General features: G+C 41.0%; 1 protein-coding gene across 4 annotated transcripts in view, besides 1 other annotated feature; it reads right to left on the bottom strand.

Moving 5' to 3' along the window:
- FLT1 (fms related receptor tyrosine kinase 1) overlaps nt 1-17,547 on the bottom strand; it is a 194,783-nt gene that overhangs the window by 148,906 nt on the left and 28,330 nt on the right. The gene's annotated exons all lie outside the window — the stretch shown is intronic.
- Nucleotides 10,794-10,963: an enhancer, noted in NCBI's record as "experimental_32819 CRE fragment used in MPRA reporter constructs". NCBI's record gives its function as "activates a minimal promoter by MPRAs in K562 erythroleukemia cells, with activity observed for both the introgressed and non-introgressed 13:29034267 variant alleles {active_cell/tissue: K562}" and the evidence as "EXISTENCE:reporter gene assay evidence [ECO:0000049][PMID:34662402]".

A 17,547-nucleotide genomic window follows, 5' to 3' on the forward strand; every position in this document is an offset into this window, starting at 1 on the left:
CAGAGCAAGACCCTGTCTCTAAGAAAAAAAAATGTCCTTCAGTTCCTTGTTGGCAGTCCCTGGTGGGCAGGTGGCATAATGAAACATCTCTGCCTTCACATAGATGGGAATACTTGCCTGGTGTGTGTGGGTATTATAGTCCACATGGAATGCGCAATTTAATATCTCCTAGTAAGCTATCCTGATTATCCAAATGAATATCTTAAGAACCTCAACTATAATTTATCAGCTAAAAATATAACAACTGTCGCCACTATTGGTGGATTCATATACAAATTCAAAGGTGATAAAAAATCTCACTGAGACTGGCTTAGGAATATCAGAAAATCAGTTGCTAGTTTCTGCCATCCAGACAGACACTTACATGTTACACAAATATTTCTATTTGAGCAGGGTAAACTTAGAGAAAAGTCATTGTGTTTCAGACTCAAGATGCCATTCTGAAATGAAACATTTAAAAATGTATTATTTGTGTGGTAAAAAATAAGAAGTGCCTCTTTCTAAAAAAGAGCTCTTTGCCTACTACCTGCCTTTCCTCAGAAGAAAGACATTGCTTTTTGTTTTGTTTTGTTTTGTTTGTTTTGCATTGCTTCACTTATAACAGCAGATCGAACAGCAAGAGCAGAGCAAAGGAGAAGAATTAGAAAGGAGGAACAGGAGTGGTGGTTCCTTTTCTCCTTCCTCTGGCTTCGCCTAAGCCCCCTGGGATGCTCTTTGGAATGTGGGTGTCTAGCGGCAGGGGATCAGGAAAACCGATTCCCCTCAATCCAATGTCCAGCAGAGGCGGACACATGGCACACTGTCAACAGATGTTTATGGAGAAGATATAAGATTGAAGCAAGCAAGAAAGGTGAAATCAGGACGTATTATGTACCCAGCACTGTGCACACGGACAGTCCCTGGACTCCAGTCCTCAGAGTCTAGCTGAGCAGACACACACACACCTCACACACAAGAATGCTCATGTTGATTAGAGGAAACAGTACTGATACCTGCCTTGAAGGGAAGTAGGGACCTCATTTTAAAAATTTACAGCTAAGATCTGAGTAAGTGAGTTGAAGATCTCAGTGAGAGTGGAATGCTGGCTAGATTTAAGCTTGATGGACTGTAAGATTAAGAATGTCTCAGCTTTCTGTGCTCTCTGGGTTTTCACACTAAGCTGGCTGGCGGTTTCTAGGTTCTGTTAACCAGATGACTGACCTCAGTCAGAGATCTTCATCTTGATCAGTTGAGACATCTCAGAAGAAAAAGAGAAAGGGAGAAGGGAAGGAGGGAGGAAAGGAGGGAGAGAGGGAGAAAAGAAGGAAGGAGAGAGGAAGGGAGGGAGGGAAATGAAAAAGAAAAAGCAAGGAACTCTAATGGATTACTATAAATCTTTCTTCTACTGCTAAGATTTTTGGCCATGTCCCAAGTCCTATTATTTATTCCCAGCTCTGCCTCTGAATCATAACATTATAAAACTGTCAAAGGACTTTTAAGATGCCCTAATTCTGCCTATCATGTTACAGATGAGAAAACTGAGGCCCAGAGAGGAGAGACTGTCCCACAAGCACAGGAATACAATTAATGGCTGAGCAAAAACTGAATTTACGCTTCCTGATCTGAGGCTAGTCTCCCTCCACCACACCAAAATCTGGCCCTGACACTCCTCAATGACTCAAGCGTGACAATTACATCTTCAAATATCCACACTCAGTGGGAGAAATGAGGGCCCAGAAACAGGGGTAGCATGGGGCCTTCTGACGGGGACTAGAAATGGGAAGCAACGGACTGATGAAGACTCACCGCGGAAACCAAGCTTCAGTCATTGGACCCTCTGCTTAGCTCTCTGCTGTAAGGTGCTGAGGACTTTTTAGGAGATGGTGAGGACAACCTCAGAACCAACAGTTGGCCAGGCACGGTGGCTGACGCCTGTCATCCTAGCACTTTGGGAGGCCGAGGTGGGAGGACTGCCTGAGCTCAGGAGTTCGAGACCAGCCTGGACAACACGGTGAAACCCCGCCTCTACTAAAATACAAAAAATTAGCTAGACGTGGCGGCAGGCACCTGTAGTCCCAGCTACTCGGGAGGCTGAGGTGGAAGAATCGCTTCAACCTGGGAGACAGAGGTTGCAGTGAGCTGAGATCGTGCCACTGCCCTCCAGCCCGGGTGACAGAACGAGACTTCGTCTCAAAACAAAAACAAAACAAAACAAAAACCAACAGTCACACCAGAGCAAGCCCTGTTTTCTGGAGCCTGGGGAGGAAATTCCCTCTCAGGGGCAGAGGATGCCTGGTCAGACTCCTCTCCAGCAGGGACACTGGGGACAGTGGGTTTTCCGAGAGGACAGCCCCGATGCATTCCATCAGCATAGCTGTGTGCGGGGCGGCGGGGGAGGGGAGCGGGTCGGGGTGGAGGAGGGCAGTTGAGGGGAGGCAGGAGTCAGGGGAGGAGTCGGGCTGTGTCGAAGTGCTGCGCTGATGACCTGCGCCACCACGGGACTCTCTAGGGCTCAGCTTCCTCATCTGGAATGTGGGACAGGCACTTTCCTGTTCCTAAACTCGCGATTTGTTATGCATTCATTTGAAATGTTCACACTGGGCGTAGCACACTGACATCCCTCCGGGGGCCAGACACACGAGTGGAGGAACTGGAGGTGGGACAGGAGGTGTTGTGGCAGCTGGGAACGTGAGCCCATGCCTGAAGGGGCCGTCCCTGCTTGCTGCAGTCCATTGTTGCCAAGTGGAAATATGCGCCAGTGTGGCTAGTGTTTCCAGTTTTTAAAGATAAGTAGGAAATGAAATTTTTACGTGAACTCTTCTAGCTATTAAGCATTGGCAGCTAAAAGTGCTGTGTCTGCCAATCAAAACATGTGTGCCAGCTGAATCCAGCCTGCATACTTCCAGTTTGCAACCCTGCATGCACTCCTGTCCCTTCTCTCCCATTTTATAATGCACACAAAGTTCTGAGGGAGTTGGGGTGGGAGCCCAGGCAAGGACACGTTAGAAAGACCGGGGGCTTTGGAGTCAACCAGACTTGAGCCCAAAGCTTTGACAGGATAATTTACGAAGTATGCAGCCTTAAACATGGTATTGAATTTCTTTAACTTTTCTGTAAAGGAATTTCTCTTATTGGGTTGTTTCGAGGATGAAATGAGATGATGTATGTATTAATAACAAGCCTGAGCCGGACATTAATAAACGATAGTGACCTACACCAGGTGCTTAATGAATCCCAGCAGAGGAAAGGTCCTGAGGCCTCATCTGATCTGGTCCCATCAAGTGAGTGTCTGCTTCCTAGATGCGTGGGGACTAATCACTCCCAAGACATTCCTTCCTTCCACTTTGGGACAGCTTTGCATGTCAGAAAGTGTTTCCTTAAGTCAAGCTGAAATTCTTAGATAGTTGTTCTGCCATCTAGGATTATAAAGACGAAGCTTAATCTCTTTTTCACATAAGAGAACTTTGAATGAGACTGTCACTCATGTCTCCTATTTTCCCACCCAGTTCTTTATATTTTTAGATTAAATATTTAAGTCCTTTCAATTGCTTCTTGCCAATGAAAATAATAAAATCATCAAATTACTTCATGCTCACAACCCTATGAGGCAGGCACCCATTTTAAAGATGATGACAATGAAGTGTAAAGGGATTAATAATTTGCTTGAAATTCCTATTTTTAATGTCCCTCTTGAGGTGTAAACTAAACAGCAAGTCTGGCACCACCTAAGTCTGGCACTACCTTTATTCCTGGTGCTATATATTTCTTCCTTTCCTCCCCTCCCCCTCCCCCTCCCCTTTCCTTTCCTTTCCTTTCCTTTCCTTTCCTTTCCTTTCCTTTCCTTTCCTTTCCTTTCCTTTCCTTTCCTTTCCTTTCCTTTCCTTTCCTTTCCTTTCCTTTCCTTTCCTTTCTGACAGAGTTTCACTCTTGTTGCCCAGGCTGGAGTGCAATGCTGCCATCTCAGCTCACTGCAAGCTTTACCTCCTGGGTTCAAGTGATTCTCCTGCCTCAGCCTCCCAAGAAGCTGGGATTACAGGCATGTGCCACCACACCGGGCTAATTTTGTATTTTTAGTAGAGATGGGGTTTCACCATGTTGGTCAGGCTGGTCTCAAACTCCTGACCTCAAGTGATCTACCTGCCTCGGCCTCCCCAAGTGTTGGGACTACAGGCGTAAGCCACCACGCCTGGCAGGGTGCTACATATTTCTTAATGTATCCCAAGGTTGGATACATTCTCTTGGTAAATATGGAGTCAACTGAAAGTCTGAAGTCTTTTGCATGTGTGCTGTCTCAGCAATGGCTTCCCCCATCCAGTACTAGGGTAGTTAGTGGGTTTTGCAAGCCAAATACAGGCCTTTACATGTATTCCTGTTAAATCTCATTTTGCTAATCCCTGTTCACTGCTCTAGTTTGTTGGAAAATTTTGGGATCGTGATTTAGTCACATGACATGATTTTGACCCCCACATTTGTCTCATTTTCTCAATGTGCCCTCAATTTCCTTTTTAAAGTCAAGGAAGTCAGGTAAGACTAATATACTTAAAAATCCCATGTTTCTTTCATTTAACAAAGATTTACTGAGCACCTTCTGTGTACTATACCCTGTGCTGGGTCCTGGGGCTATCATGGTAAGCAGGACGAACTCAGTCCTGTCCGTAGAGCTTGTGAGAGGTGAGTCCTGTGTGAAAGGTCAGTAGGAGCACCATCCCGAGTTTGGGGGTGCCTAGGGTGCTTCCCAGAGGGGGGATATTTAACTTGAGACCTGAAAAGTGAGGAAGAGTGAGCTGTTACAGAAGAGCTGGGTGGGGGGAGTGGGGAAGGGTGGAATGTCCCAGGCAGAGCACCCCCAGTCCACACCCCTCTTACTGCTCTTTCCCCAGTATGGTTAATTGTAACTCATTTTCTTTGACCTACCAAACTGCAGGCCCCTTAAAAGTTGTTGGTATCATCTTTGTACTTCCTACTGTGTCCAGCACGGTGTTTTTCACACACAGGGATTACTACCAATCACTACTGCCTCCTAAGTGTTAGGCAGTCTGTATTGTCTCATGTAGTCTCCTAATAGCCCCTGAAGTAATACTCTTCTCATTTTACAGTTGAGAAAACCAAGCTCAAAAAATGGTAATAATGAGTGGTAGTATTAATAATAATAAACTCGTATATAGTGCATACTATACACCAAACACCGTCCTAAATGTTTTGCACATATGCACTCTTGATTATGGGAGGTGGTTATAGGCAAGAACTTTGTTGCCATCTCTGCCATACACTAGTTATATAACCTTGAAAAAGCTACTTAACCTTTCTGAGAAATAAATGGAGATGACTGTGATAATACTTTCAGACTAAGATCAGGATCAAGGCAAGGATCTTCCCTCTCACTACTACTTTCCAACATCACACTGGAAGTCTTAACTCATGCAATAAGACAAGAAAGGGAAATAGAAGGTATACAGATTGGAAAAGAAAAAATAAAATTGCCTTTGTTCACAGATGATGTGATCATCTGTATAGAAAATCAAAAAGAATCAACAAAAATACCCCTGGAACTAGTAAAAGATTATAGCAAGCTTGCAGGACACAAAGTTAAATTCAAAAGTCAGTTGCTTTCCTATATACAAGCAATGAAAACTAGTAGAGTTGAAATGAAAAACACAATACCATTTGCATTAGCACCCCCAAAAGTGAAACACCTAGACATAAGTCTATCAAAATATATATAAGAATCTATATGTATGAGGAAAACTACAAAACTATGATGAACAAAACTGAAGAAAAACTAAATGAATGGAGAGATATTTCATCTTGGATAAAAAGGTTCAATATTGTTAAAATGTCAGTTCTTCCCAACTTGATCTGCAGATTCAATGCAATCCCAATCAAAATCCCAGAAGTTACTTTGTGGATATGGACAAACTGATCCTAAAGTTTATATGGAGAGGCAAAAGACCCAGAATAGCCAATATAATATTGAAGAAGAGCAAAGTTGGAAGACTGACACTACCTAACTTCAAGACTTACTACAAAGCTATAGTAATCAAGACAGTGTGATATTGGCAAAAGGATAGACAAATAGGTCAGTGGAACAGAATATAGAGCCCAGAAATAGGCTCACATAAATACAGTCAACTGATCTTTGACAAAGGAGCAAAAATCATCTTGTCAATAAATGGTGCTGAAAAACTGGGCATCTGCATACAAACAAACAAACAAAAAATGAGGCTAGACACAGACCTTACACTCTTTAGAAAAATCAACACAAAATGGATCATAGAGACCTAAATGTAAAATGCGAAACTATAAAACTCCTAGAATATAACAGGAGAAAACCTAGATGAACTTCGGTATGACAATGACTTTTTAGATGCAACACTAAAGGCATGATCTACAAAACAATTGATAAGCTGGATTTCATTAAAATTCAAAACTCCTGCTCTGCAAAAGACAACATCAAGAGAATGAGAAGACAGGGCACAGACTGGGAGAAAATATTTGCAAAAGATACAGCTGAAAAAAGAATTGTTTTCCAAAACATACAAAGAATTCTTAAAACTCATCAGTAAGAAAACAAACAACTCTGTTTAAAATGGGTCATTTCACCAAAGAAGACCTACAGATGGCAAATAAGCATATGAAAAGGTGCTCCACGTCATGTCATTGGGAAAATGCAAACTAAAATAACAATGAGAGACCATTACATACTTATTAGAGCAGCCAAAATCCAGAACACTGCCAACAGCAAATGTTGGCAAGGAGGCAGAGTGATAGGAATTGTCATTTGCTGCTGGTGGGAATGCAACACGAGACAGCCACTTTGGAAGACGGTTTGGCAGTTTCTTACAAAACTAGCCTTTCTATTGCCCTAAAATTGAGCAATCATGTTCCTTGGTATTTGCCCAAAGGACCTGAAGAATTACATCCACCCAAAACCTGCACATGGATGTTTATAGCAGCTTTATTCATTATTGCTAAAACTTGGAAGCAGCCAAGATGTCCTTTGGTAGGTGAATGGGTAAATAAACTATGAATATAATTATATAATGAATTTATATAATGAATATAAAAATATATAAACTATGAATATAAAAATATTTATATGATGGAATATTATTCAGCAATAAAAAGAAATTAGATATTAAGCCATGGAAAGACATGGAGGAACTTTAAATGCATATTACAAAATGAAGGAAGCCAATCTGAAAAGGCTACATACTGTATGATTCCAACTACATGAATTCTGGAAAAGGCAAAACTATGGAAACAGTAAGAAAGATAAGTGTTTGCCGGCCGGGCACAGTGGCTCATGCCTGTAATCCCAGCACTTTAGGAGGCGGAGGTGGGTGGATCACGAGGTCAGGAGCTCGAGACCAGCCTGGCCAACATGGTGAAACCCTGTCTCTACTAAAAATACAAAAATTAGCTGGGTGTGGTGGTGGGCACCTGTAATCCCAGCTACTTGGGAGGCTGAGGCAGGAGAATCGTTTGAACCCTGGAGGCAGAGGTTGCAGTGAGCTGAGATTGCACCACTGCCCTCCAGCCTGGGCAACAGGATGAGACTCCCTCTCAAAAAAAAAAAAAGAAAGAAAAATAAGGATAGGTGTTTGCCAGGGGTTGGGATTAAGGAAAGGATGACTAAGTAGAGCACAGTAGATTTTAGGGCAGTGAAAATACTCTGTATGGTACTATAATAGTGGATACATGTCATTGTATGTTTCTCCAATCCATAGAATGTCCAACACCAAGGGTGAACCCTCATGTACACTTTGCACTTGGGTGATTATGATGTCTCACTGTAGGTTCATTAATTGAAACAAATGTACCATTCTGGTGGGGAATGTTGATAATGAAGACTATGCATGTGGGGACAAGGGGTATATAGGAAATCTCTGTACCTTCCTCTCAATTTTGCTGTGAGCCTGAAACTGCTCTAGGAAAAAAAAAAATCATACACACACACACACACATAGACATGCACACACATCTAATTTTTAAAATGAGAGCACTACTTCACAGGGTTGTTGTAAGGATAAAATCTGTTAATGAATGCAAAGTGCTTAGGATGGCACCCAGCATGGATTAAGACCCACCTAAATGTTAACCATTCTCCTTATTAAGCAATTTGTCCAAAGTCAAAGACCTAGTGAGTATCCGAACAGGGATTTGAAAGCAGTCTGAAGCCTGGATCATGTTGTTTCAACTGTAGCTTATTAATTGACATTTGATGAAGGAAGGAAGGAAGGGAGGGGTGTTTACTGCTTTAGTAAGCTACCTATTTTGAACAACACAATCAGCTAGCCAACATAATTCAGCAAAAATACATCAAATGACACACAACAAATATTTTAAATAGTTAAAGGAAAAACTGTAGAATATTAGAACTGGAAGGACCATAAAGATAAAAACAGATCACCTCCTCATCTCCAAGCAAGGCAAGCATTTCATTATCATTGTTGAAGTTATGAAATGCCAGAAACTTAAAGCCTTTTCAGCTTAAGGGGATTTCTTCTGAAAAAGTCCCTTGCTTATTTTTCTTAAAAGATCACTTGAGGGAGAGTTTTTAAAATCCTTAAAACCATAAAGTTTTGATCAATTGTTTTTCACACTTCTTGATTGTAGGGGAAAAATGAGAGAATATGGTCAATTTTATTACCTTTGGACTTCATTGCCATCTTTAGATTTCTTTTCCTTTTTTCTTTCCTTTTCTTTTTTTTTTTTTTTTTTTGTGATGGAGTCTTGCTCTATCGCCCAGGCTGGAGTGCAGTGGCGCAATCTTGGCTCACTGCAACCTCCACCTCCTGGGTTCAAGCGATTCTCCTGCCTCAGCCTCCCGAGTAGCTGGGACTATACACATGCGCCATCACACCTGGCTAATTTTTTTGTACTTTTAGTAGAGACGGGGTTTCACCATGTCCGTCAGGCTGGTGACCCCAAGTCATCTGCCCACTTCAGCCTCCCAAATACTGGGATTACAGGCATGGGCCACCACACCCGGCCCATCTTTAGATTTCATAATTCCACCACAGTCATCAACTTTTCAAAGCCTTAAATTGTGTCCAAGTGGCTTATTCAGGACTATGTTCATTCTGATTATTTTTGAGTACTTATATAGTTCTACTAAATGCCTGATGATGTATAACTGCGTCGTTGCTAGTAAGTCTTAGCAATGTGGCTCTAGAGGGATGGCATGCCAAATTTTTTCTGGTATGGATTTTAGAGAGCCCCAGAAATTGTTTTCTCTCTGAGGGAATGGCCTGAACATTTTACATGTCCACACACCAAGTGCTAAGGATGAAATTATTAGGACATCCTAGGAGAATACAGGGTCTGGGGCAGGGGCCAAAGAGAGAAGATGCATTTGTTCCTGACTGCCAGCAAGTCTACCAATGTGAGTGGCTTCTGTCCCAATCATATATCAGGGTCTTCTATAGTCAAGCTCCCTTAGTGTTTAATGACAGAAATGTTTTTAGAAGGGAAATGTGACATGTCAGGGCTTAAAGATATCAAGAATGTCTTCCATCCAATTTCCACGTAGCTGGAAAGGAAAATGGTTAAGAGTTAAGTTACTGTTCTCTAAACTCTCACCATGTGGTCCTAATCAGCTGTCTGCCAGTGATGGATAGAATGAATAATCTCCTTCATACTTCAGCCCTAGAAGGAGTGCACAGCCAGGATGTAGAGGGGTCTATTTCCCAAGAAAAAAACTGCGATTGCAAACAACATCATCAGTGTGTATTTTAAACCCTAGAAATATCTGTTTCCCCTCTTTCACATCTTTATCAAAATGAAAAAATAAATCCAGCAAAACCTGACCTTGCACTAGGTTTTTGATGAAGATGTGTGCAGATGGGCCAGAAAATTCCTAGGAGTTCTTTAGAGAATTTGAAGGATAATTCTGCAGATGCACGTCAGTCTCAGGTTGCTGCCATTTTAGGAATCTCACCTGGGTTTCCAGACATGTCATCCAGAGACTGAGAGTCCTACCTTTGTTCACCCCAACATGTTCACCTGTCTCCTGAGCAAATGCATCCAGTAGGGATGTGAGAGGAAAAACAGGATCCATCACCCAACCTGTCTGCACTTGTGGCCTCCTGGTAATGCAGGGACTCAAGCGACTCTATGGTGGGAACCCTAGACAATTCCTGATCAAAACTTTGGAAACCAGTTCCTACTGGAAGATTAGTGTTAGAAGAAACACACATTTCAGAAAATACATGGAAGGAGCCACATGTTAGGGATAGAGGTGAGATGAGTAAGGGAGGGAAGCTCTTTGGATGGGCAGGTGGAGGAGAGAATGAGGCCATGTGGAAAATGGAAATTTAAAACCAGAGAAGACTCTAGACATTAACCAAGCAATATTAGATAACGTCATGGATTTCCTAAGAAATCTATGCCTAAAAAATTCAACCAACTAGTGTGGCTATGAGTTTGGGTTTTATTTTGGGCGCTTTCTTGTTTTCTTCCTGCAAAATGTAAACTGTTTTTGCCTATTTTCCCTTGGAGGAGAATTTTGATGAATAGAAACAATATTTTCTCTTTAAAGTTTCTCTCATGAAATTATAGTGATTCCATTGACATATTTTTGAAGCTTTGGCAATCTGTTCAGCCATGTGCTGCTCTCTGCCCAACACAGTGCTGACCTGCATGAAAGCGTGAACACCTTCTTTCGGTCTGGGGATGAAGGGCCCACATTCCTGGTGCATTTCCATCTTACAAGGGTCCTTCTGATCCCCACAGGGGGAAAGTGGAGGCGGCAAGGCTCGGCGATGAAGCCTGCAGATTGCTACTCTGTTGATGTCCCTGCTGGTTCCATGGAGATGTTTATTGGACTTGCCATACCAGTCTGGCAGATTGGGCAACAAACACCATCTGCCCAACCATCACCCAGCTGGGCAGTGTTGACTGAGCCTTCTGTGTGTGCCAAATTGTGTCAGATCTGGGAAGGGATCTAAAGGCAGGCAGTGCTGGAGCAACAGCCACGCCTCACAGAACATGAATAGGGCTCCCCATTAGGGGCTATTAACAGAGCCCTCTTCACTCCTTAGAGACCCACTTCTGAACAATAGTTATTCTCTAAAAAATAAAACTCATGCTTTAAAAAATACTTACAAATCTGTGAGCTATGGTCCTAGAGAGTAACTGGGGGACTTCACAATTGCAGGATTCTGTGACTTTGCTTTTTATGTCTCTCACAGATCAAACAACAGGGCCTTGTGTGGAGTAGGTATGTAATCAACATCTGCAGACAGATTCCTGTTGGTGGAAACTCCTGGGCCAAGCCTCCGAGTGGGAAAACTCAGTTCAGGAGTGAAATGAGTGGATTGCACAGAACCACCAAAAGCAGTGGACCCAAATCAGCTAAAGGAGAGGGCTTCTTTCCACTGCCACATTTTCTCCAGACCTCTGTTTCAGTACTGGTGTGCCCCTCCCCCCACCCCACCCCCCCAAAAAATCACAGTGCTTACAATTGGCACTGCTTACCTAAATAATAGATATGGTCTATCCTGGTAACTTTTAAACTTATTATGCTAACTTTCACAAAAAGAAATACATTTTACGTCAGACCCATTACACACACACACACACACACACACACACACACGCACGTATGTACTTTACATTTATGAGGGTAAAATGGATATATGAATGTATAAAATTGAAACAAAAATAGTTTTACTAAACAACACTTACCCTTACTCTTTGCAATTTACTTGGATATTTTCTTTTCTATTCTGGGTTGGTTTTTCTTTTTTGAGACAGGGTTTCACTACGTTGCCCAGGCTGGAGTACAGTGGCTATTCACAGGTGCAATCACAGCTCACTGCAGCCTCAAATCCTGAGCTCAAGTGATCCTCTTGTCCCAGCCTCCTAAATAGCTGAGACTACAGGTGGATGCCCCAGCTCCTAGCTTTTTTTTTTTTAATGCAGGTTGAAACCCATTCATTTGATTCCATAGCCCATTAATGAATTTGGAGGCACATTTTTAAAAGCCCTGCTCAACTTAGTAAATTTTTCCTTTAAAGAAAAAGAATAAATTTGAGATTACAAAATTTTAATAACTGTATAATCTATGTTCTTAACAATTAAAACAACAACTAGCTCGTAGTTTGATGTCAAGAGCTGCAACTCCAGTACAGGGGAAATAGACCTAACCTAGCTGGATCCTCATCCTGGTTTCTCAATGTATGAGCTCTGTCCAGCTCATGCAAGTCACTGAGGTTGTTTTCTCATATATAACATGGAAGAAATACCAACTCCCTTTCTCTCAGAGATAATTAAGTAAAAGCTCTTAAGGAAATCTGAAGTTCAGTACAAATGAGTTCATTGAATCCTCCTCAGAATCGCCACTGCACTCCAGCCTGGGCGACAAAGCAAGACTATCTCAAAAAATAAAAGTAAAAATAAGAATAAAAAAAGAATCCTCAGAATATCTGCACTGGTAGGATTTCTACTTGCTCAAGGTTTCATAGCCAGGTAGAGCCTTTTTTTCCCCCGCTAAACACATTTATATAAAAGCATAATTATTATTCTCTCCCAGAATATCTAAGTTGTTAGAAATTCTACTGCTTTCAGTTATATACCCAATGTGTCCGATAATGTTTCTACCTCAGATTATGCCGCTGTGCAAATCTCATGAGTTTTATGCATATGGGAAAATCAACTGCGGAAAAATTTCTTATAAAAATGCTCCAACCCATTGACTTTAATAGAGCCAAAGAGGAAAATAATCAAGTAAAGAGAAACAGAAGAGAAGAGATGAGTTTCTTTTACAGGGATGAACTAGAAGGGATCCACCCAGCCCCATCATTTTGCTTTTCGATTGTAATTTTTCAAGAGGAGATATTATATTTAAATAGGCCCTAGAAGCTTACGGCTGGTGAGAGAGAGATATAAGCTAACTTCACAGTGTGGGGAGCTCAACACCCTAAGTTTAAGGTCTTGCTAACTAAATTAAAGATACTGACAAGTGTTAACTACTTCAGAGATGCCATTAAAAAACTCGTCTGGTCAGTTTTCTTACTTTACAGTCATAACTCATATATTACAATAATATTTTCAATGAAATCCTCTAACTGTGAGAAAAGGCTGACCTGGAGCCCATTTCCTGTGTACACCAGAGTGTCAGAAAAGAAGTGCAAAAGTGCTCCTTTCTCTCTCCAAGGGGATGAAGTTCACTTAAATGGCCCCAACATTACTGTTCTTCTAGAAATTAATAGAAGAATTGTACTCTATTGTAATTAGGAGGTGCTTTGTAATTTGTTTTTGTTTATGACCTGGTGTTTCGTAGCTATAATTAGATTCAATTCATTTTTAACAAAGCAATTTTTACAAATGCATATCATATTTTCCACTATTATGATTCAAAAGCCATACCAAGGGTATATCCAGAGAGAATGATGATAATGATGGTGCCTTTGCATCAAGGTAATTTAGTGTGGCAAACCTCCACCTGGCTGTGGGACCAAGTGGCCCCTTCCAGGATTCTGAGTGTCACATTGATTCCCCTCTTTCCCTCAGCCACTCAACCTCTGATCACCAAGGCCAACGAATCCCCCAATTCTGTCAACTCTCCTTCCCCACCACGACCAAAGTGAACTCAGGACACCACCTTCCACCTGCTTTGATGCACAGAGCAGGCCCCTATCTGGCCTTCCTGCCTCAGTCTTGCCCCTTCCGACCTCCTCCTGCCACTGAGAATGTGAAGGGAAAACCTGACCACCTTATTCCAGTGCGAGCACTTTCCCATGACTCCCCACAGAGCCCTAATGTGAAGTGAATTCTTGGTCCTTTGCTTGTAAAATGAAGAGAACGATGCTTCATTGGATGGTTGTGAGGATTAAATGGCATCAAGTAAATGAAACCATTTGTTTAAGTGAAAAGAAACAAATGTAAGAAATTATTATATTAGCGGAAATTTAAATTTACTAGATAATTCGGTAATTAAGTAAAGTAGTTAAATATAATTACTTGGGTACTTAAATTGATTTAATACATTATGCTAGAGGTTTGGTGGATTTATACAAGCTGGAATGATAAAGTGCTGATATTGATTTTTCTGTACATTACATATCAGATGTTACATCCTAATCAGTGCTCAGGTGGGAACAGCGCCTGTTACACAGCAGGCAATCAATAATGCCTAAGTAAGAGTTTGTTCATAATTTACATGCTGGGTTTTGTGACATGTAGACAGAGCTATACTCCTGATTCTTTTTCTTAAAACCCTATTAGACTACAAATCTACCTTTTCAAAAGATGTGTTTACATAGGGTTACTCATCCTTAGAGAAAAATAAAATGAAATCCCAATAATCTGCAGATGCTTATTGGGGCTGAAATCCCCCAAACATATTCTAAAGTAAATATTCAACAATAATAAATACATGATAACCAAGTTAATATCTAGCGAGTAATCACAGCTGTATATTAGGAAATGGTTGGAGTTTTATTAATGCCAGAGACAATGCTCTGAGTCATCAGAGATAAGTTTTGTGCTCCTGAACTAAAATAAACCTGTCATGGAAGTGTTCGGTAACAATGGAAGCAGAAGATCAAATTTTCTCAGAAAGAGAGTTAATAAAATAATGAGAGAGAGACATAAAATATTAGACTCCTCGGAAAAGTTATGATTGTTTAATGGATTATATCACAGCTACCTTGGACTTTAATAAGGTGTGATTATGAGACCAATATCACCCTAACAGGAAACAAATAACAAAATAGATGTTACTGTTCATAGTAGTACAGTTACAGGCTCATAGTAACTGTTTCCTAAATATTTGCTGATTAAATTAATTAGCAAACAAGATTCAGAAGGCTCTTCTATGGTTACCATTATTGATTCCAATATCTTTTAGTATCAGTGCTATTTAAAAATAGTGGTCTCATAATATTATCATAACAATTTTTCCACCAAGCTCATATAATATTCGTAGTATATGTATGTATGTATATGTGTGTATTCCATAATAATCTATGAAATACAACGCATTTCACAATCCTTCCTTATCCAAAAACAATCTAAGTGATAGATAATTTCCTAATGTCCAACAAATTATGCAAGTGTTTTATGATATTGGAACTTGTAATTTTCTGCGAATGGTTGTGGACTATTACAGGAAGGCAGACATGATAAATACATGACCTAACGGCCACTGCTCCCCGACAATCCCACAAGAGACATCAATAATCAATCATGGCACTTTTTCCCACTAAGCCTGGAATTTATCCTCAATGTCAATTTTAACATAGTATTCCACAAAGCACCTGTTAATCCATTCATTTATTCATTTAGCAATTATTATGGATTTCCTAATATGTGCAAGGCACTGTACCAGGGAGGCACATTGCAGATAAAAGTAACCAGGACAGACATGGACCGTGCCATCACAGGGCTTAGATTAACAATGGATTTGACACTCAAAGTCATGATTGTTTGCCAGATCTGCTCTGTTGTATAGTTGAAATGGAACTAATTCTAAATAGCAGTGTCTCTCCTTTGTGATAGTAGGGGACTGAGTGGAGAGGCTTGCACTCCCTGGCTTCATAAAGCCATGATGTCTATTGAATAGTTTAGGAGTTAAAGGTGAAAATAGCTGAACACTATTTATTAGAAAAAAAGAGATGGTTTTCTTTTTATTCATTTAAGTGTTCAATTTGCAAGTCAGACTGATAAACCTATAGGAGAAAGTTTTATGAAAATATTAGAATGAATAAATTTTTCTCCCACTCCCCTATAGAGACAGGGGCAGTCTGTGACTCACTGCAGTGTTTTCCTTTCTCCACAGATGTCGGAAAGAACACAATATGCTACGTGGAATTAGAGAAAGAGAACAGATGGCTGAGTACATGGCTTTTTCCACCACTATCAAGCGTGTTGTCTTTCCCCCTCAGCTGCAAAATTACCTCTCTGAAAGTCTCTGCTCTTAATGCTGCACCTTCTCTACCCTTCCTCATTCCTGCCTACCATCCTTTCATCCCTGCTTTAGAAGTGGGCTGACTTCCCCAAGCAAAATTCCCCGGCCTACCTCCCACTCATATGTGGAAGTGAGCTGATTGCATCCCTTGACGGCAAACTGCTTGGATGGTTAGTCCCTTACAGTTATCTACCCCCTGGACAAGCACAAAATGTCAAAACAGAATTTGGAGGATCGGGGACATGAAAGTGGCTCAGTCAAAATCAGGCTGATAGCAGCTACAAAGAGGTTACTGTCAATAACAGGCAACTGTTCTGCTGTCTCCTAAGACTAATCCTGAATTTGGATATGTACATGTTATGCTCAGGGAAAAACACTGTCTAGTTGCCTTATTTCACAAATTAAAAAAAATCTCATGGCCAGGCACGGTAGCTCATGCCTGTAATCCCAACACTTTGGGAGGCCGAGGCAGGTGGATCACCTGAGGTCAGGAGTTCGAGACCAGCCTGACCAACATGGTGAAACCCAGTCTCTACTAAAAATACAAAAATTAGCCAGGAGTGGTGGCAGACGCCTGTAATCCTAGCTACGCAGGAGGCTGAGGCAGGAGTAATCGCTTGCCCCTGGGAGGCAGAAGTTGCAGTGAGCTGCCATTGCACTCCAGCATGGGTGAGAGATCAAGACTCCATCTCAAAAAAACAAACAAACAACAACGAAAAAGAACTGCCTCACTAAAATGTTAGTTCTATTGTACTACCTCCAATGCAAAGACCCAGTTCCTGACCTCACCAGAAGGTAGACCCACAATGTATATTTAGCTATTGATGCTGATGGTTGGTTGTTTTCTTTTGTTTTTTTTAAACCTGATTCTGTGCCTGAAGTGCCTACTAATATTGCTTTGTGTTCTCTACAGCCTTGTTTGTGTGTGTGCGTTTTTTTCTTTAATCCCCTCAAGATTTGAAAATTGGAACTAAACAAGGAAGAAGAAAGTGACAGGCCATTTTTATTATTCTTTCTCAGGGTTCCAATTTTACTGTGAGTTTCTACTTCTTAAAAGATTTTGCATTTCTCCCCTTTGAATGTTACTTCATTTGTTCATTCTCTAAGGAAGGAAGAACAGTATCATAAAAATTATGAATGAATGAAAATGATTTTTTTACGAGTACCATAAAAAATGAATCAAACATGATTCATTTTTGCCCTTTGCCCTTTGCACTGTATCTTGGTCAGTGCCAGTTCTCATGTCATTATAGTAGTTCCTCAGTGAACATGAAATAATACAACATTGTCCATTGGAACCAGTTATATAACACTCGAGATAACAGCAACATTGCGTTTATTAATTTAGTAGAAACAACAGTATTTTACAGTTCCAACATATAAGAGAATGCAGCTGTGTTAAATGACAAAAATCATGTATTCTATTTTGGGCTTCTCAATAACTAAGAAATAGAACTAAAATCCTTTTATTCACTTATTCATCCAACTATGGGCCACATACTGTGCTAGGAGCTGTGGGTACAGAGGTGACCTATACAGACCAGTCTCTCTCTTTGTGGAGCACATAGTGACTAACTGGGCCTTGACAATTCTGGTTAAAATTGACATCCACGAAAGTGTCTACAACTAGGATGGAATCTCTTTCCTAACCCGTT

This window comes from Homo sapiens, chromosome 13 (assembly GCF_000001405.40).
Source record: "Homo sapiens chromosome 13, GRCh38.p14 Primary Assembly".
In the NCBI taxonomy this organism is placed as follows: Eukaryota; Metazoa; Chordata; class Mammalia; order Primates; family Hominidae; genus Homo; species Homo sapiens.